Consider the following 20,717-nt stretch of genomic DNA (forward strand, 5'->3'; position numbering starts at 1 on the left):
CATCATATACCTGACTTCATAAGGGTACAGTAAAAAAAAAAAAACCAAACACCATCGGTCTAGTATAAAAACAGACACATAGACTAATGAAACAGAATAGATAAGCCAGAAATAAAGCCACACATCTACAACCATCTGATCTTTGACAAAGTTGACAAAACTAAGCAATGGAGAAAGGATTCCATATTCAATAAATGGTGCCGGGATAACTGGCTAACTATAGACCTTCATTGGATACATTTAGCTAGCTAGCCAGTTATCCCAGCACCATGCAGAAGAATGAAACTGGACTCCTACCTTTCACCATATACAGAAATTAACTCAAGATACATTAAAGATTTAAATGTAAGACCTCAAACTGTAAGAATCCTAGAAGAATATCCATGAAACACCACTTTGGACACTGACCTTGGCAAAGAATTCATGACTAAATCCTCAAAAGCAAGCGCAACACAAAAAAAATTGACAAGTGAGACCTAATTAAATCAAAGAGCTTCTGCACAGCAAAAGAAACTATTGACAGAGTACGTTAGAAAACTTGCAGAATGGGAGAAAACATTCACAAATACCCATGCGACAAAGGTCTACGTCTAGAATCTATAAGGAACTTAAACAATCCAACAAGCAAGAAACAAATGATCCCATTAAAAAGTGGGCAAAGGACATGAACAGACACTTCTGAAAAGAAAACATACAAGCTACCAACAACATATGAAAAAAATTTCCATATCATTCGTCATCAGAGAGATACAAATCAAAACCACAATGAGGTACCATCTCATACCAATCAAAATAACATGTTGGCGAGGCTGCAAAGAAAAAGAAACTTTCATACACTGCTGGTAGGAATGTAAAGTAGTTCAACCACTGTGGAAAGCAGTTTGGAGATTTCACAAAGAACTTAAAACAGAAGTATCATCTGACCCAGGATCCTATTAATGTGTATACACTCAAAGGAAAATAGATCATTCTACCAAAACCACACATGCACTCATGTTCATCACAGCCCTATTCACAATAGCAAAGACATGGAATCAATCTAGGTGTCCATCAACAGTATATTGGATAAAGCAAGTGTGTTACATACACACCACGAAATCCTATGCAGCCATAAAAAAGAATGAAATCATGTCCTTTGCAGAAACATTGATATAGCTGGAGGCCATTATCCTAAGTGAGTTAATGCAGGAACAGAAAGCCAAATACTGCATGTTTTCACCTGTTAGTGGGAGCTAAACACTGGGTACAAATGATGTAAAGATGGGAACAACAGACACTGGGAACTATAGGAGGTAAGAGGGAGGGAGGGGGCCAAGGGTTTAAAACTACCTGTTGGGTCCTATGCTAACACCCTGGGGGATGGGATCCTTCATATCCCAAACCTCAGTGTCACTCAACATACCCATGTAACAAACCAGCACATAAATCCCTTAATCTGAAATAAAAGTTGAAATTTTTTAAAAAATTAATTAAAAATAAATAAAAATGTAGAAAAGAAAGTGCAAACATCTATACATTTGCACTAAGTGCCAGGGGAAAAATGTGATTTGAAATTTTTTCTGTCCTGTCTCCCAACACAGGTTTAAATATTTAATTAAATATTCTGAAGCATCTCTATGCACCCAGAAACAAAGTATTTATATACATTTTTGCTATTGCTGGAATTTTTATTCAACATAAATGTGTGTGACATTCTCAAATGATAATTTTCAACCCATTTAAAGCCAAGGGAAAACTACATACTCCATACTACCTGTTTTGTTTCTCCTTTTTTTACATCTGACAAAGTTCCTTTCAGACCTTTTGGGTCACCTGTTCTAGAGATACAACTGAACATATTTGGTACCTCATTTCTAAGAACTTGGTTAATTCTAGAATGAACTTGATGATTATGGAAAAAATTATTCAGAAATTATGGAAATCCACCCAAAAACCTGATTATATGAGAAATGTAGCAGAAAGTATTTAACACTGTAATCAAAATTCCTTTCTACTTATCTCTTGCTTGTATATGTTTTCCACATTTCTATATACTTATCTTTTCTGTTAATTAAGACAACATGAATGACAACTTCATTTGGCACTTTATCTCTTGAATGAGATTCAATCGAATACTGGATGATTAATAAGTAGTTGATGAATGGATCAAAAGAAGAATGATAATTTTTGCTTGTCTGGGGAAAAGGTATTACACGAATTATAAAACAACGGCTTATTAGGTAGAAATAAAAAACACAAGTATATTAAAAACATCATAACTATTATTTAAAACAACTCAATTATAATCCTCCTATATTTAAAATGTTTGATCTTTAGGTATGAGAAACATACTTCTCTGAAAATTACATTTGGAAAGTCAAACACTGAAGGTTGCAGGAGTTCTATCAGAAATTACTTGAAACTTAGTTTCTGTCACTGACTTTGTAAAGTTAAGCATAAATTAAAGGCTCAATCTTAGCTAAAAATTTTCATCCTATTAGTAATATCATTCCCCATTTTAATGAGAGACACAAAAAATAAAATGAACAAATTTCATTATCTGTATTGGCCAACTATATTTCTGACATACCAAATGCTTACTGCACAAATAAATTTTCTCCGAATTATATATACAGTTTCACCTAGTTGTGTAAAATCGGATATTAATCGACACCTTTAAACCTTATTACTAGGAAATCTGGGGCATTAAAATCATCCTTAGGAACTCATAGGAAATGGTAAACATATAATATCACCAAGTCTCCCTTTTTGAAAATTAGAAATAACTCAATCATGCTCCATTCCTGGTCAACCAAGAATTTTAAATTTATAATGCTTGCATGACTAAATGTGATTTTGTTCTATGACACAGAGACTAAGCATACATAAACTAAATCAGCCACTTAGACACGTAGCTTGAAGTACTTATGTACATAACAAAGCACTGGGATTTTAAGAATCTTGGTTTTAAAAACTCCCTCCAGCAATTCTTCCATCTCTAAAACTCTAGGCTTCTTAGAGTTTTGTTGCATTCAAAATGGCCTCAGCAATTGGTTCATAATGATGTCACAGGAGTAACCAGAAAAACTGTGCATCACTGGTACTGAAAATGAGAGTTATTTATCTGTGAATAGGTACACGGCTAAAATATGTTGAACGTAAATCTATTTCCATAATTATTAATAAATAAAATTTAATATTTAAGATATCAGTAATAGTGAACACTAGGTGTCAGTGTAAGAAACGGAAAAATATTTTTAAAAACCTGTTGTTTCCAATCAGGTGTATAACAATAAAATCAAAAGCAGCTGTGACCACATTTACTTATAATTACATAATTCGGTTAACAAGCCAATCTTTCTTTCAAACAAAAATTTCTGTTCCAAAACCATCAAGAGTTTAAAATCAGATTAAGCTAATTATTAGAAGTTACAAGTCTTTTGTAACCTTGGCTACATAAAGCATAGCAAATTTTTACTTTTAAGAATATATATTTTGAAGAAAATTCTACTTTTAGGAATACATATTTTGAAGTGTTAAAGTGCAGAACTACTATACTGCATTATTTTCGTTGGTTATTTTTCAAAATAATAATGCTGGATGATTAATAAATGATACTGAATTTTAAGCTTTTCCCCAAACAGAAGTTTCCCACATAAATTTCAAGTTATTAAAAGTTAAAATGTTTAAAGGGTCAATTCACAAGGAAAGGGCACACGAACTTAGGAAGTACAATTGCTTCTCTTAAAATTTTAGTACCTAGAATTTTTCTAAAGTATAAATGCTATCATTTATACTAAAAATATCATCTAATAACTTTACCAATATTTCAGATAAAGAGTTTTCTCTATAGACTTTTGAGGGTAAATGCTTTTAAAACACAAGTTTTAAAAAGATTATTATTAGCAATAATAATAAAAGGAAATGTCAACATCAAAACAGTGTCCCTAGTTTTATGAAAAGGCACTTTACAATTTACAAACACATTCATAGTATTACTTAATTTACACCTAATAATAATAATATAAGAAATCTATACTCATTTTAGCACACTGGTCAAGTTTGGGGGCTTGAGCTCTCTGTTTCATCTACCTATTTATCCATTTCTCTGTTTCACCTCCCTCAAACTCCACATTACTATGTACTTATGAAATCATGTATTTTTCAAGAATGTTGGGAAATTTCTTCACACAATATTCTGAAAACCATCAAGTTTGAAAAAGAAACAAAACTAAACATAGAAGTCGCCACTAAAATACAATATCTTAGGACTCGAAGATCATTTAGGAGAATATTCAAGGATTTGCTGGATAAAAATAAGTGCTTTCAGTCAATGCTGTTTCTTATTTCAATGATAGTTAAGTTCTATTCCAATTATAGAGATAAAACGAGAAGGCATAAAATTAATGGAAAAGCTTCCTAAGTCTCCAGGATTGAAATGAATTAAATTTAGATCATTCTGCGTCTGCAGGTTTCTTCTCAGGGACATAAAATCAGACGGGAACTGACAAGAAAGGAACAAGGAAACTCATGTTTAATAAATTATCTAAACTGGGTTTTAAGAATGTTGAGGTATCTAAGAATATTGGCAATAAAAAGTAGAGGTAGGAGAAATAGTGACAAAACTGTATAAGGCATGACATGCTAAAGCAGAAGGGTGGCCTCAGAAATACTGCATGCTATGAATCTTCGAGCGCTCTTTCTGCCTCTTAGTGTCTTTGCCTTTGACACTCTGTTACTCCAAATGTCAAAAAATTTTTTGGCTGCCATTAATCCTGTTCCCATTGGCAAATAATGTAGACCAGTGTTAGGTCATTTACACACATTATCTTATATAATGCCTATGATGTAGGTAAATTCCAAGAGATGACTAAATGAGGACTTGGATTAAGGAATATGCTCAAGACTGTATAACTGGCAAGTTATGAAGCCAAGATTCAAATCCAGCAATGTTTGTCTCCAAAAACATTCCAGTCTACAAGCATTTACCAACTCATGGCTCACGAACCCTGTGGGTTTTGCAAAAGTAATCAGGGATCAGGGGAGTCACATCTAGAACAGTGATTACCAAATGAGAATATACCAAGTTAGTACATATAAATGTACTAACAACTCAGTATTTCTATCAGTTTCTCACTCAGATCAATACTGACAGCTGTCATGGTAGATTTGATTGTTATATGATTTTAAATTCATTTATTCTCTGTGATATGGAATTTAATTTATACCCATACTGAACTATTGTTTACAGGTAGTAAGCATAAGTAGTTGAAGCTAAAACAAAATAATATATAACAATTACACTAACTTTGTAAATTTGATATCTTTCTTTACCAGAATAAGATGTATTCATCTGAAGGAAAGTAGAATTCAGTACATTGAGATATGGACTTCAAAATATCATATGAATGGAAAATATAGTAGCAAGTATACACAATTTAGCTTTTTGTTTATCCATATCAGAAAATTTTATGGCAAAATGCTTGCCAAGAGTAGCCTATAACATTTTCCTTTAGTCCACCTTAAAACAAAAGTAAAAATATATAGGTTTTTAAAAACATCCCATTCATTTCAAAGCATTATGAGTAAGAATTCCAAAAACAGCAGTTTTGTATCATTCTAATAAAATTAAATTTCAATCTATATGTTACATTTCTTATTTCAATGATGTTCTTCCCTTTTACAATCAGGACTCAATTCTTCTCTTTTCAAGATTCCTGGGTATCCTCTTGAGTGGCGTCACCCATTTCACTTGTAACCAGGCCTCTTTGTAGGCAAACAGTATCTTCCTGAAATGCCATTCGCCTTATTCTAAAACCCTTCTTCTTCTGCGTCTCTCATCAGAGCTTCAAATTCATGTCTAAAACCACCATTTCTCTTCCAAATCTGTGCTTTCTGACCTATTTCAATTCACAAATCTGTCATTCTCCCAATTGCTTAGGAAATATCTCTGACTTGCTCTCCCTTATCTTTTATTTAACCTTCCTGGCCCTGAATTCCTGAACCCATGAAATCTTGCATATTGCAGCTCTACATTTTTTTTTCAAACTAGGATGTGTTAGTTCAGAATCTGTAACTGTGCAACTTAGAGCTAGCAACAACTTTTGCCTAAATACTGCAATATCCTCCTTATAACTGACCTCTCCAGAAGCAGCATCTTGAGTCTTTCACAGTTCGATATAAAATAGCCAGGTTATTCTATCCACTTCACTTACTTTGCCACTCTCTAAAATTTTTAATTGTCCCCAGCTGTCTACAGAATTACATACAAATTACTCAGTTTGAAATTCAATGACCTTGAAAATCTGGTCCCAAGTGTCTTTTTCATCACCTTTCTCCATCATACAATTAAGAAACATTGCTCATACAACTGGAAACCCATATGGCTTGATCAGAGGTGATATAATATCAACCAATAGCTGAATTTGGTTCTTGGCATAAAATGCAAAAGCTCTGCAATATAGCTGACATTTTAAAATAGGCATTCCATTCCTGACAACATCATTCACATCCATTCTGAAATCCAAACGGGGTTAGCTATTAATCATTACTATGTAGCTTATTATTCACACAAAAATATTATACTTACTGAAAACAAAGAAGCAATTGGTTTTGAAACTCAGTGTAAATAAAAGGATAATTTATTAATTACCATTCTCTCTTTTGGAGAACAGCCATTAGGTCTTTAATACTGACATAGATAAATAACTTCATTCTTGTCTTATAAAAAACTTTCAGTTCCTGACTAGCATAAAAAGAGAACAAATAAATTAGATATGTTAGAAATGGGAAACTGAATTCCAGTATTTTCTTTATTCTCACAAAAGAGACATTTGAAAATATCACCACCTGATCTCTGATTTTTATGAAAATGCAGGGACTTTTTTATCCACCATGATAGAAAATACCAAAGTTATTTAGAAAAAGAGTATTAATACTTTTGCTTTTAGTGAAAAAAAGAATTAAAAAATATTGAGTTTCTACTAAATATAATGTACTCATTGAAACCGTATTCTTATCAGTGAAATCAAATGCTTGCATATTTAGAAAAAAAGGCAATATTTGATTTTTAAAACCTGCCATAGACAAAATAATTGAAAAGGATAAAGCTGAGACTTTTATGATGGGAGTAAAAGTTAACTAGTGAAAAAATTATTATTCTTTTAACTATATGTGAACCATAAACATTTTATTAGGAATACAGTTATTTTACTTCTTGTATTATCATCAAATCTTACATCGAGTCTAGTGATCTTCTTAATAAAAACAGTCTACAAAGAGAAACTTTAGTGCTCAAGGAAAAAGATTCTACTAAAACTTTTCTTCTTAAAGCTTATTACCAAAGCAAGCAATAATATGGTTGATTTCTGGAAAAGTTCACAATATTTTAAATATCCTTTTCAAGTATGTTTAAATTCCTTCTTTCTTATATATTGAATTACCTTTGTCCAGTGGTCTATCAAATGATTTCTATTTTAATGTTATGAAATTATAACTTATGCCTACATTATGTTTTGTTGGTTATTAAAACTATTTCTCATGTTAAAGAATGCTATTCTCTTTCCAAACTTCAAATATGATAAATATTTATCATAGACTTGAAACTGAATTTGTATTTTCCACACCAAAAGAAGATTGTGCTTACCTTTCTTGGCACTTCTCTTTTTCAATTACTTCTTTTTCAACCACTCCTCACTAACTATTTGCAAAATGTAAATACTACTCTGAAAACAATATTCTTCTTACTGCAGAGAACCACAGAATACTCAGAATTAGAAGGGACCTTACAGACATATAGTAAATTCAGTCTGATAAGTACCCATTAAAAAAACAGCATATTTTCTATACTAAGGAATCCCCAAACTCTCTAGAGAAGAAATGGTTTGAATTCCCTATCTACTACTTATAAGCTGTGTGACTGTGGGCAAGTTGCTTAATCTTTCTGTTCTTCAGTTTCTAAACCTATAAAGTGAAGAGAGTATCTTCTAACTCTCTAGGTTTACTGGAAGTATTTAGTGAAATGTTTCTTATAAGTGATGCCACTCTGTCAAACTACAGATAGAAACACAGAAAGTTTTAAAAATATTTTTCCCTTAATTCCTTAAGGATATTTGCTAAATTATGGAATCTTTATATACAGTTTTGGGGAGAAAAATGTTTTGGTCATTTAAAAGTCTTTGGTCATTACAGTTTTGGGGAGAAAAAGTTTTTGGTCATATAAAATTTTTGGTCATTTTACATAAATAAAATATAAATTTTATATTTTATATGGTTACAAATATCAATACGCATACTGGGCTAAATACAACAGAATGATGTTCTCTGAAACCAAAAAGTTAGGAAACTTGATATTTTAATATATATTTTCTGGAACATACTTTACATTATATATTTTACTTGTAAACCAACTAGATAACCTATAATTGTGTGTATTTGTGTTTTTAGCAATTATTTTATCTTGGCTCTACACCGTCACAACTTCTTGCTGTTTCTTATCAGCATCTGCCTTATTAATTGCCTTGGTCCTTTCCATTCCATTTTCCTCCTACTCTACTGCAAAAAAAACCCAAAAAACACATAAAGAAACTCTTAGATTAAATACATTCTGGGTACTGAGCATGATTTTTACAGTATTTATGCTGATGTTTATTACTTAATGCCATATTATTAGTTGAATTAGAAGTGCAAAGTCAGTGAAAATTTTACTGATAAACATCATTTTCAAAGTTCTATCCTGAAGATGTTTTCTTAAGCCTTTTCTAGTTGACACATTTATTTAATAGACTTTCTCTTTCCATTTAATTAAAAAATTTGAAGTCAGCCGGGTGCGGTGGCTCACACCTGTAATCCCAGCATTTGGGAGGCTGAGGCGGGTGGATCACCTGAGGTCAGGAGTTCTAGACCAGCCTGGCCAACATGGTGAAACCCTGCCTCTACTAAAAATACAAAAACTAGCCAGGCGTGGTGGCAGGCACCTGTAATCCCAGCTACTTGGGGGACCGAGGCAGGAGAATTACTTGAACCTGTGAGTTGGAGGTTCCAGTGAGCTGAGATTGTGCCATCGCACTCCAGCCTGGGGAACAACGGTGAGACTTCGTCTCAAAAAAAAAAAAAAAAAAAAATTAAGTCAATTTTATTCTAGTGCTTCAAATATAAATACCTTTTGAATTTCAGATTATATATATACTTAGAGTTTCATAACAACTTACTAGAGAAGTCTCTAAGGACAGTTAATATATGCTTGGGAAACTAACAATGTGATTTATAAATTCACCCAGAGATGTGAGAACGACTAGAATTGAAATTATCAGCATAAATAATCTGTTCCCTAACACAATGTAGTAAAATAACACCCCTAATAAAACATCTAACACAATGTAGTAAAATAACACCCCTAATAAAACAACTAACACAATGTAGTAAAATAACACCCCAATAAAACATCGCAATGGATGTGAAGAGTTCATATCAGAATCTAAAGGGATAAAAATACATATTTTACAAAATAATTGTATGTTCTTCAAATGTAGAAAAATATATAATACTGAGATCTGATAAATAAATAAAAGTTGCTAATTATATTTTTATAAAAAATAGGATAAATTCAAGCTAGGTTAAAATTTTGTAAGTTAAAAAGCTATACAGAAATGTTTTTATTTAAAACCTGGAAAATGGCCTATATATACAATAAAATAATATAAGCAAACTCTTTAGAAGACGGCCTCACACATAGTAGATGTTTACTAACTGTTATTTTCTTCTTTTCTGCAGAAACTTAACACTAATCAAGAGTAATAGCAGCAATGGGGAAAGAAGATGCAGAGTTATGGATAAAGAAAAGACATTCAAAGATCTTGGGAAAGGAACTGGAAAGAGGAAGTTTTAAACAATCTCTTAGTTCAGATACAGAGGAGAAAAGAAAAACTGATAAATGAGAATAGAATACTTGGAAAACATCTGCCAAATTAAAAAGCACAAAAAGTAAGAACAAAGAAAGAGGGAGAAAGAGAACCTGATGCATGCTAATCAAGATGGGAGACTGAACAGTTACTCTTCACAGATATGTTTATTCTTCATTACTTTTTATAATTCAAGATTATAAATAATCTCAAAAATAATCCAGAGAATAGATTCACATATGAAAGCATAGTTCAACAGACTGAATGGCTTACTAGTTGTTGAGTAGATTCACATAGAAAAAAACCTAATATGATTTTCAAATGGAAGGTTAGATAATTATATTCTATGCATAAAACAAATTATATTCTACACATATTTAATAGAGTAGTGAAAGCAGCCACATAGCCATCAGAAATCATGACAATTTTTGAACTTCATTTAAAATTGGGTATTATCAAAAGCATAATATAGACTCAGTCACACAATTTCAAGATGGCGCAAATCTCTGCCTATCTCTATTAAGACATGCAATTCAATCTGGAGAGTGGGAGTTTTATAAAAAGTTTGCATCTCTCTGGTAAATCTAAAACACTTGGAACCTAAGCATTTATGAGAAATTTTAGCCCGAACTAAAACGTTCAGCACAGATTAAAAATCCAAGCATGGTACAGGATACAAGTAGCTAGAACTTAGCTTAAGTCAGGGGATAGGAGTCTAGCAGACCAGCAGAGAAAAAAAGGAAGAACCTTTAGGGAGAAAAGCCTGATGCAAGAAAAGAAACACAAATTGAAAGGTGAGAAGATGCTATTTTATATCTATGCTAAGAAAACCAAGTAACATGAGACAATACTTGTAATTTACTGGAAGTGAAAAACAATTTATACTCTGAAATTCTGTGACACTGAAGTAAAGACTGCTTTTCAAAATGAATTGGTTAGTAGGATATACTACAGCAGGAAAAAAATATGTTAAGAGTGGGAGAAAGGACTGGGAATTCCTTCCCAGTTGATCCTCTGTGTCATGCCTTTAGCAAACTATCCATGGCAATTGGTGGGGAGAATGTAGCATAAGAGGCATTCTACACAGAATATGCCCATTTTAAAAACTAAGTATCAGTCAATAGTTACTTATTATTTTTTTAAAAAGACAATTGTATTTATTGATGCATGAGGTAGTAATATATGAGAGAAAATAAGACTAATTTAAGTAGAAGATATTAGGAGTGATCAATTACAAACAAGTGGTGCTATACAGAAATAATCAGGAAATTTTCCATAATACTTATTCCATAATACTTCATTTTTACTTAAGAAGTAAAAATGAAGAAAAGTAATCAGATTTTACCAACACAAAATATTCTATTTTGAACAACTCTGTACGCATATGTGACCATACGTGTGTGTTTTCCCCAAAGCAGGTGTGTTTTTAGTCTGTTTATTCTAAACATATGCTTAATTTACTCCACAGTAGCAGACAGAAAGGCCGAGAATTTTTTCCCAGATGGTATTTGTGGACTACCTCATATTCCATTCATGTAAACACAGAGTGTGTTCTGGTTTGCTGAACTACATATACATGCTCTGGCTTAGTACAAAGTATGAACGTTTAGTTAGCAAGAAGACTGTTTCCATCCTATGATTCATTAGGTCCCCATGGTACCTCTGCTTCCTTTATTTTATGCAATCACAAATTATATTAGTTTGTCCTATTTTGATAACCCTTATAATTGAAATTCTACATAGGAAACTTTATTACTATTTTAAAACACACCCATAAAACATTACTGAGGTGGCATAAGTGACAGCCTCACAGAACTGGTGATGAGGACAGAACAGAGCTTTGCATGAACTGCTTCTACCAGGGAAATTAAAAAGCATTACAGGAGGGAGGGGTGAATTCAGTGCATTTTAATCCAGATCGGAGATTAAGCCATAACTCTTCACACTTATAAATTTGTTCTTTATTACTTTTCATAATTAAGGAGAATTAGCTAAACATGATAAATTGGTTCTGATGTGAAAACTAGTGTAACCAACTACACAGCTTACTACTGACTGGTAGATTCATACAGTGAAAATCTAATATGATTTTTAAATGGAATGGTAATTACATTCTATGCATAAAATGTAGTGAATCTTTTGATATTTAACTTTGAATGAACAGAGAAATGAAAGCAGCTATATAGCCATCTGAAATCATTACTTTTTGAACTTGAAAGAGATATTGACAACATCATAACAACAACTCAAACATAATTTGCAGTTGGCACAAATCTCTACTTACTTCAAATGTGATTTAACTCAACCTGGAAAGTGAGGAGTAAGGAAGCTTAGGATATGAAAAAGTTTGCATCTCTCTGGTAAATGTGAAATTCTTGGAAATTTTCTAATCCATTTCTCATCTCAATCATGCCATTAAATAGCCCCATTATTAACGACAATAGCAACTATTACTACTGTTACTAGTAACCTAGAGAAGGGACGCTATGTTCCAGGAATTTCATTAACTCCTTCATATATATATAATCTTTATGATGCTTTATAACTACAGTAAAAAGTAAATATTAGCATTGCAACATAACAAAATAAAGAAACTAAGAGTTTGAAACCTTTCTCTAGTGACAATTTCTAATTTGTATTGCATTGAATCATATAAAATCACCAATATTCAATCATTTATAGCCTGTAAATATGTCAATTTCATTTGGTTCAAACTTATGTAAGAGTTGGTTTAAATAATTTCTCAAGTGTAATTCAACTTTGAAATTCTATGACTTTATTGTTCTAATCTGTTCTTGAAATAGTAAAATCGAAAGCTTTATATAGATTTTAGATGATGTATTTTCATTATTTAACATAGTATATAATCTACATGTACATAAACTTCAGGGAAAAACAGTCAACTCAGGCCTAAGCTATCCACAACCTAACAAGTGGAAAAGAGTGGAAGAAGGTGAAATTACTTAAAATGAAGCACAGGCCTAAGTGAAGCACTGGATAAGAATTATGCATTAGATGAGAGGATATAGATTCCACATGGGAACAACAGGTCAAAGAAAGACGAGACAAAAAAAAATGATTTAAGTAAAAACTTCTAAATGTAGTTTATTGCCAGTCTTATGGTAGTATTCCCCAAATGAAACAATATGTACCTACTGCCAAAATAATCTAAAAAATGTCCATCATCCTTGGTAGTTGATATTCAACAAAATATCAACAGTAGATATTCAATAAAAATCTGTATTGACTAAGGGAGGTTTTTTTTTAAAGAATCAAAGTATATCATAATAAGTCTTGTCAAAAACACAGCTTCACCTACTTCGAGGTGCTATATTCAATCTTGATATATATCTATCAGGAGATAATAGCTAGAAATAGTCCATAGTCCCAAAATAAAATTTTGAGGAGCTGAAAGGACTGACATAACTGATACTGAAAAAATGCTGTAGGACAAAGAGAGTGTAGTATAATATATATCAGGCATCAGTCTTGTGGAACTTGTTATCCTATACATAGTGAAATGATGAAAAGATAACACTGATCAAAGATGGACTTCAAAAATTTTTGACTGACAGAAATCTACAATACACAAATAATCAAAAAGGAACTGTTCTGGTTGAATTTGGGGTAGGGATCTCAGAGCCCCATCTTCTTCTCTTCCTCAAATATGAGGTGTCCCTGAACATTCTTTTGAATACTGGTGTTTCATGGACCATGCTAATTTGAAAGCCACTGCTTTAGTCAGGAAGTTTGCTACAGGACACAAGTGTCAAGCCCAGCTGTGAGTTTTCTGGCTTCCCAGAAACTCTAGAGAGAGAAGTCCGTGCCCTGAAGGAGAATTGATGACGGCTCACAATTTCTTGAGCTGCCACAGAAGCAAAGGCAGAGGAAAGAGGTGTGATAAGGAAAGGGGGAAGCCCACCTAGCTTAAGATGGGCCAGCACAAGGCAGCCCTATGCAGGCTGTGAGAGGCTTCCAGCCACTTGCTGATTTGTGAGAAATTCAACTGTGGCCACACAAAGTCATTCCACTGACATCTCAAAGAGATCCACTGTTACAATTACAGGTGACTGTAGCTACAATGGGTCCCCAAAGGTTCCTGCTATGCAAATACAAATATTGATGAAGATAATACTGCTGTCCTTCTACAAAACAGTAACAACACTCATGTTTCTTCTATCTCTAATGATAAAAATATATATACTGTGCAAAAAGACATACAGGTTTTTATAAACTGAAAGTCTGCCCTTGTATCTTCTTCTCTCCAAACTCACTCCCTTCTTAGACCTATCATTAACAGGGAAATTAATTTCATACTGGACAAAGACACTTATGAAAAAACTGGACTGCAAGGTCATCCATTTCAGTATTCTTGCAGAAAAATCATGAAATTTGGGGCTGGGTCTGATAGGATTGTGGCGGTCCTCTCTCCCACCTCAACAGCTACCACTGCCTCCAGATGCTCTAAAGATGGCGAGCTCTCTGGGTTCCCAAGCTTACAACACCCAGAACTGGGAGGGGGTGGACTTTCCTGTTCTGTGCCAGGAATGTCTTGCAGAAATCTATATATATTAAATAGCCAAAGAAAAAAGCAGGAAGGAACGCAAAATTTGTGCCAGGCCATTCAGTGTTTTGCTTGTGCCCTGGGGTCCACATGCATTTCAAGAAGACAGAAGTGTGCCAACCCTGCAGTAAATTGAAGCATGTCTGTTAGGCCTAAATCTTAAGACCTAAAGCATGGTCTGCCCATCCAGGTTAATAATGCAGAACTGTCTTCTGAAGGTGACCTGCCAAAGTCTGATGTCAAAAAAAGAGTACTGCATGTAGAATATGAGAGACAGGGATTTCTAGCTCTGATGGAACGTGGCCAGTTTGCCTGCTGGGGAAAAAGCCACACTGACCAGAGACATGCTACTCAGTCCAGCTTGGACCACACCCTCCTACCAAAGGAGTAAGCCCCACATTTGCTCCTCCTGGGTGAAAGGAGAGTATAAGAGAGGAGAGGAACATCCATGCAGACATGAGAAGCCTATAGATCCAGATGATCCCCTTGCCAATCAGAATATTATGGAATCAATGATCCAGAAACAGATAAGCATCTAAAGTGGGCTTCAATCATGCCCCATCTGGACCCATCAGAGGACAAGGTTATCCTCCCCATATGTTGGTAGTCTGGATAATACCCTTTCTGAGACAGATCTAAGACATCATCACTACCAGTTTGGAGAGATGCAGATTGATTACTGTTGTTCAGAGAGAGCAGTGTGCTTTCATCCAGGTTTCCACAGGGCAGGCTGCAGAAGTGGCTGCTGAGAAGTCCTTTGATAAGTTGATTGTCAATGGCTGTAGACTCAACATAAAATGGGGAAGATCCCAAGCATCCAGAGGAAAAGAAAAAGAGAAGAACAGATCACAGACTCTGGGATCCAGCTACAGCCTATTCCAGCACTGCCATGAGCTCTTCCTCCTCCTACAGCAGCAGAAGATGCATGTGCCAGCTACTTCAACCTGCCCCAACATGGTCCTCCAGCTGTGGTGAACATTGCCCAGCCACCAGCCCCTAGTCTTCCACACCCCCAACCCCAGGATTTAGGCCACACATATTCACCTCAATGGGACCACCCTTTCCTTTCATGACAACTCCAGGATTAATCCACTATCTTTCTCATGACCCTCAGAGGATGGGAGCTCATGCCAGAAAACATAGGAAACCCTAGCACACTATCAACACTCTGGGGCTCTATGGAAGAAAGAACACTTAAAAATCCGAATCAATGAATCTTGGAATAAATGTGTTTTTCTTAAAAAAAAAAAAAAATCATACTGTAAATGGAATAAAACACGTTTCTGTGTCACATTTTGGGCCAAGTTTATAACCTCTATTCCAATGCTTACTTTCCTCAATTCAACTCAATAAATACATGTTGAATCCTATGAAAGATTTATCATTTATTAGAGACATGAATATAGAAATACATGAAGAATTCCAGCCCAGAATAATTATCTCTTCTTAAAACCCTCATCTCACTCTGGATATCAGTATTATCACTTACCATAATGTTTTAAAATTAGCTTCTATGTGTTAATGTACCTGACAAAACTGTAAACTCTTATTCATCTTTGTATCGCTATAACCAGAGCTATACCAGTGTCAATAAATAAGTGTACTAAATAAATGAATAAAACATGAAAAAGTAAAAAATACCTAATAATTTATTAAAGCAGAAAACCATTCAAAACAGTAAATGGCAATCTAAAAATGAAATGATGACCTCATTTACACTTTTGTTTTCAGGATAATTAAAAAAATTTAACTTCGATGTGCAAAGAACACCTCAGGGCCATTTACATATCATTTTAGATTGTGTGGCTAAAGGCTTAGCCAGATAGGGATTCCCACATATCAGAACAAAGAAATACAGACAAGAATATTCCCGAGAATGGTGAGTCTTTTCAATAAACGGTGCTGGAAAACCTGGATGTCTATATGCAGAAAAATAAACTAGACCCCTATCTCTCACCATACTCAAAAAATCAACTCAAAATGAATTAAAGACTTAAAATCTAAGAACCAAAACTTTAAGCTACTAGAAGAAAGCACAGGGGAAAACGCTTCGGACATTGTTCTGGGAAAATATTTCATGAAATGGAACTCAAAAGTACAGGCAACAAAACCAAAAATAGACAAATGGAATTATATTAAACTAAAAATCTTCTACACAAAATCAAGAGTTAAGAGACAACCTGCAAGATGGGAGAAAATGCTTGAATTTCTTCGGACAAGGGATTAATATCCAAGGAACTTAAAAGCAATAAAATGAAAAATCCAATTAAAAAAATAGGCAAAAGAGCTGAATCAACATCTTTCAAAAGACACAGTTGGGTGCAGTGACACACACCTGTAATCCCAGCTACTCATGAGGCTGAGGGGGGAAATGGCTTGCACCCAGGAGTTTGAGACCAGTCTGGGCATCATAGCAAGACCCTGTACTTAAAAAAAAAAAAAAAAAAAAAAAGACACACAAATAGCCCACAGTACATGAAAAAACTCTAAATGTCACTAATCATCAGGGAAATGCAAATGAAAACAACAATGAAATAATCACCTCACCCTAATTATTAGAATGGTTATTATCAAAAACAAGGTTATAATTAATAATACCAAATGCTAGCAATGAGGAGGAGAAAGGGAATGTCTTACACACTTTTGATTGAAATGTAAATTAGTATAACCATTATAGAAAACAATAAAAAGCTAAAAATAGAATTACCATATGATCCAGCAATCCCACTACTGGGTCCACATACAAAGGAAAACAGTATGCCAAAGATATATCTGTGCTCACATGTTTATTGCAGCAATACTCACAATAGCCAAGACATGAAATAACTGAAGTGTCCATCAACAGACGAATGGATATCAAGAATGTGGTATATATTCACAATGAAATACTATTTCACCATAAAAAAGAAGGGAATTCTGTCATTTGTGGCAACATAAATGAGCTTAAATGACATTATGTTAAGAGAAATAAGCCATGCACAGAAAGATAAATATCACATGTTCTCACTGATACATGAAAGGTAAAAAAGTTGGCCAGGCGCGGAGGCTCACGCCTGTAATCCCAGCACTTTGGGAGGCCAAGGCAGACAAATCACCTGAGGTCGGGAGTTTGAGACCAGCCTGACCAACATGGAGAAATCCCATCTTTACTAAAAATACAAAATTAGCTGGTCATGGTGGCGCATGCCTGTAATCCCAGCTACTTGGGAGGCTGAGGCAGCAGAATCGCTTGAACCCGGGAGGCGGAGGTTGCGGTGAGCCGAGATCGTGCCATTGCACTCCAGCCTGGGCAACAAGAGCGAAACTCCGTCTCCAAAACAACAACAACAAAAAGTTGATCTCATAATAGTAGAGAATAGAATAGTAGTTACTAGAGGTGAGGAAAGGGAAGTGGAGAGAAAGGTATAGCCAAAGAGTTGTACAGAGATAAACAGCTAGATAGGAGAAATAATTTCTCGGGTTCCATAGCATTATGTAGTGACTATAATAGTAACAATTTATTGTATATTTCCAAATAGCTAGGAGTGGATTTTGAATATTCCCAACACAAAGAAATCATAAATGTTTAAGGTAACGAATATGCTAAATACCCTGATATGATCATTATACATTGTATACATGTGTCAAAATAACACACTGTGCCCCATAAATATGTACAATTATTATGTGTCTATTAAAAATGATAATAAAAAACAAAAAAAAACCTGGCAGTGAGTTTCATTGTTTTTATTTTCTACTCATATCCCCTGTATTGAACTCAAAGGGAGTATGAATCCAGGAACTGCTTACCAAGTATAGACAAAAAGAATTAAAAGAGAAGTCTTTTCCTTCTTTGACAAACAATGGGGACCTCATAGTGGCAGAGGGTTGGGGTAGAAAAATTTGACAATGAGTAGAACAAGATAATTTTTTGGGGAATGAGGGAACTGTTCTGAATCAATTTTAGTTATGGTTATAAGACTACACATTTGACAAAACATAAAGAACTGAAAAAAGAAAACAAAACAGATTCTGTTTTATGTAATTTCAACAAAAAATTTAATATTATAAAAACTAACAAATATAATGTATACTGGTTACACAGTATTCTACAGTAAGGGAATATTAACACTTAAAAAACAATTTGCCTACTATTTTTCCCTTTCTTCTCAAGCATTCAAACATACAAGTTTAAGAGAGACACAAAAGAGGAAAACGTACAAGTTTAAGAGAGACACAAAAGGGGAAAAGCCAAAAAACAGCAGCAGAAAGCAATAAGAATTAACGAGAGAGGTGACCTCCTGTCTACAATATGGGGGAGAAAACATTTTATGTCCAGCCAAGTTACCTGCCAGCTAAAACAAAACCAACAAAAAGTCTTCAGAAGAGTCACAATAATTTATTATATAAAATATCCACTTTTAAAAAAATTATTAGACATGCAAAAAAAACCCCAAAAGAATGACACCTAGTAAGTAAAAAGCAGAGTCAATATAAATGCCTTCCAATGTGGTACAGTTACTGAATTTAGACTATAAATACTTCAACAAAGCTATTATAAAGATGTTGACCGGGTGTGGTGGCTTATGCTTGTAATCGCAGCACTTTGGGAGGCTGAGTCGGGCAGATCCCTCAGGTCAGGTGTTCGAGGCCAGCCTGGCCAATATGGTGAAACCTTGTCTCTCCTAAAAATACAAAAAATTAGCTGGGCGTGGTGGCACACCTGTAATCTCAGCTACTCAAGAGACTGAGACAGGAAATCGCTTGAACCCAGGAGTTGGAGATTGTAGTGAGCCGAGATCATGCCTCTGCACTCCAACCTGGACGACAGAGTGAGACTCCGTCTCAAAAAAAAGAAAAAAAAAAAAAGATGTTCAAAGAATTACAGGAAAAAACTGATCTTAATAGGCAAATGGATAAAGAACTACAAAGAGATTTAAATGAAGAGTACAAAACACACACATATAATTTGTCATGACTACATGATATTCCATGGTAAAAAAGGACTGACTTTTTGAAAATAACTGTTCTCTATAATTCTTCCTTTCCTCTAAAGAACTCACTCTGACATATGCCTGGATATTGTAGAGGTAAACAAAACAAGGTTTTCCTCTAGTTAGGTATATCATTCAATGTAATATTTAGTGGAATCTGGACAGGATGAATCTCACAAATAGGCATCAAAACTATCATTCAAATATTAAATGGGTAAGGAGAGGTAAGCATCTACTGTAATAAGAGGATTTCTCATTATAAGTAAAGGCACATACTATTTCTTGTTTATACTAGTGTAGCAGTCATCAAATAATGTTCCACCTTCTGTATTTAAAATAGAATATAAAAGTATGTATCCATAATTCAAAAGGGGTTTATAACCCACTAAGATACATTTTCAAACAGATACTGCAATAGAAAATACTATGGGCTACACTGAAAAAAACACTAGCACTGACTAAATAGCATATTAGACATGGCAGAAAAAATAGTAAACTTAAAGGTAAAGCCATAGGAATTACAAAAGTCAAATGAAACAAAACAACAGAAGAAAAAGGGGCAGAAAAAGTTTGGAGAAACACTAAAGGCCCTGAAAGTCTTGTGAAACAATGTCAAATGGTAAAACTTATGGCTGAAAACTTCCACGAATTGATACCTAGTGTTCAACAAGAAAATAACGATTTCAAAAATCACTCCTAGAGATAGCAAACTACCCAAAGCCAAAGATAAGGAAAAAATCTTGAGAGCAGCCAGAAAAAAACTACATGTTACATACAGGGGAACAAATGAATAACAGTTAACTTGTAACAGAAACTAATGTAGGTCAGAAAATATTAGAATGACATATTCAAAGAGCCGAAAGGAAAAGATTATCAACATAGAATTCCATGTAGGGAAGAACATACTTAAAGAATAAAGATAAAGATATGTTCAGATGAAAGAAATGTAAGAGACTTCATCATTAGCACAGCTGTACTACAAAAAAAGTTACAAGGCTTCTTCAGGATGAAGGAAAAGACTGAAATGGCAACTAAAATCTGTGAGAAGGAATAATGAGCATGGGAAATGGTAGATATGTGGGTAAATACAAAATAGGCCATATGCTTCCTTTTTTATCTACATTCCTTAAAAGCATTTGACTTTAAAGGAAAAGTTATAATGTTGTCATATAAAAATAGTAACATACATAGATTTAACATGAATAACAATACCACTAAAGAGTAAATATCTGGTGTCCTTATAAGACAGGAGGACATGTAAAGAAGGGGAGAAGGCTATAGAAAGATAGAGAAAAAGAACAG

The 20,717-nt window shown here is 34.0% G+C and overlaps 1 protein-coding gene and 1 pseudogene across 29 annotated transcripts in view; one reads left to right on the plus strand and one right to left on the minus strand.

Moving 5' to 3' along the window:
* The window catches only part of SUPT3H (SPT3 homolog, SAGA and STAGA complex component), a 568,878-nt gene that overhangs the window by 274,614 nt on the left and 273,547 nt on the right, over nt 1–20,717 (minus strand). The window contains exon 2 of one of the 29 annotated variants that reach the window (XM_017011374.3): nt 7,625–7,724. The exons of the other annotated variants lie outside the window; for them this stretch is intronic. The gene's annotated coding sequence lies outside the window, so the exon portion shown is untranslated. The remainder of the gene's footprint in view (nt 1–7,624; nt 7,725–20,717) is intronic. 29 annotated transcript variants of the gene reach the window in all.
* Nucleotides 14,273–15,679, plus strand: RBM22P4 (RNA binding motif protein 22 pseudogene 4; annotated as a pseudogene).

Source organism: Homo sapiens, chromosome 6 (assembly GCF_000001405.40).
Source record: "Homo sapiens chromosome 6, GRCh38.p14 Primary Assembly".
NCBI classification, from domain to species: Eukaryota; Metazoa; Chordata; class Mammalia; order Primates; family Hominidae; genus Homo; species Homo sapiens.